This window comes from Homo sapiens, chromosome 18, assembly GCF_000001405.40.
Source record: "Homo sapiens chromosome 18, GRCh38.p14 Primary Assembly".
In the NCBI taxonomy this organism is placed as follows: domain Eukaryota; kingdom Metazoa; phylum Chordata; class Mammalia; order Primates; family Hominidae; genus Homo; species Homo sapiens.
In genome coordinates this window covers 60,238,254-60,239,990 of record NC_000018.10, presented here as the reverse complement: position 1 = coordinate 60,239,990, position 1,737 = coordinate 60,238,254, and the positions used below count along the sequence as shown (strand labels likewise).

At 35.9% G+C, this 1,737-nt stretch overlaps 1 annotated feature.

The window, feature by feature from the left end:
• Positions 553-612: an enhancer, noted in NCBI's record as "active region_13427". NCBI's record gives its function as "activates an Ori minimal core promoter by ATAC-STARR-seq in GM12878 lymphoblastoid cells {active_cell/tissue: GM12878}" and the evidence as "EXISTENCE:reporter gene assay evidence [ECO:0000049][PMID:35858748]".

Sequence of the window (1,737 nt, the reverse complement as noted above, 5' to 3'; positions counted from 1 at the left end):
AACTGGCTAGCCATATGCAGAAGACTGAAACTAGACCCATTCCTTACACCATAAACAAAAATAAACTCAAGATGGATTAAAGATTAAATGTATAAACCTATAAAAATCCTGGAAGATAACCTAGGAAATACCATTCTGGACATAGGATCTGGTAAAGATTTCATAATTAAGACACCAAATCAATTGCAACAAAAACAAATTTGACAAATGGGACCTAATTAAACTAAAGAGCTTTTGTGCAGCAAAAGAAATTATCAACAGGGTAAACAGACAACCTACAGAATAGGAGAAAATATTTGCAAATTCTGCATTTGACACAGATCTAATATCCAGAGTCTATAGAGAACTTAAATAAACTTACTAGTAAAAGACAGACAACCCCAGTAAAAAGTTGGCAAATGACATCAACACTTTTCAAAAGAAGACATACATGTGGCCAACAAGCATATGAAAAAATGCTCAACATCGTTAATCATTAGAGAAGTGCAAATCGAAACCACAATGAGGACCCTGTGAAAACCATCTCACACCTGTCAGAATGGCTATTTTTAAAACATCAAAAAATAACATATGCTGTTGAAGTTGTGGAGAAAAGGGAACACTTATACACTGCTGGTGGGAATGTAAATCAGTTTAGCCATCGTGGAAAGCAATTTGGTAATTTCTCAAATAACTCAAAGCAGAATTACCATTTGACCCAGCAATCCCATTATTGGGTATATACCCAAAGGAATATAAATTGTTCTACCATAAAGACACATGCACGCATATGTTCACTGTAGTACTGTTCACAATAGCAAAGACATGAAATCAACCTAAATGCCCATAAATGTTAGACTTGATAAAGAAAATGTAGTATATATACACCATGGAATGCTATGTAGCCTTAAAAAAAGAATGAGATCATGTCCTTTGCAGCAACATGGATGGAGTTGGAGGCCATTATCCAAAGTGAGCTAACACAGGAACAGAAAACCAAATACTGCATGTTCTCATTTACAAGTGGGAGCTAAACACTGAGTACATAGGATCACAAAGAAGGAAAAACAGACACTGGAACCTACTTGATGGCATAGGGTAGGAGGAGAGTGAGGATCAAAAAACTACCTATCAGATATTACATTTATTACCTGGGTGGTGAAATAATCTGTAAACCAAACCCCCATGAAACACAATTTAACTGTGTAACAAACCTGTACATGTACCCCTGAACCTAAAATAAAAGTTAAAAAGGAAAAAAACTTGCTTTTTTGAGTTAAAAGTCCAAAAAATGAACATCTTCCTCGATTTCCTATCTTGTGCAATCTCAGCAGAAGGGACTTTTACAGCTCATGCATACTGGGAGTTCTTTGAGCAGCTATAGCCTGAACCGTCTCTCAAGGAAATGGGTTTCTTTAGGTCTCAGTGTTATTAGTTCAGTATTAAGTATGTCTTACAAACTTCACTTTTAAGAAGTTCAGATTGTCAATAGTCTACTCAAGTATCACATCTTGGCACTATCTCCCCTTAAAATCCCAGGCAAATTTATGGTCCCTAACTCTGTACTTAATATTTCCAAAAGCCACAGCAAACATTCAATAGTGTCAGAAGGAAGGGAAAGGCACGGAGAAAACCTTCCTGGTTTTCTTCTTTCTGGGCTGTCGTTTAATTTATGTTAATTGTTAAGGGTTCATGACAAAAGCAAAAATGGACAAATATGACATCAAACTAAAAAGCTCTGTACAATAAAGGGAACCA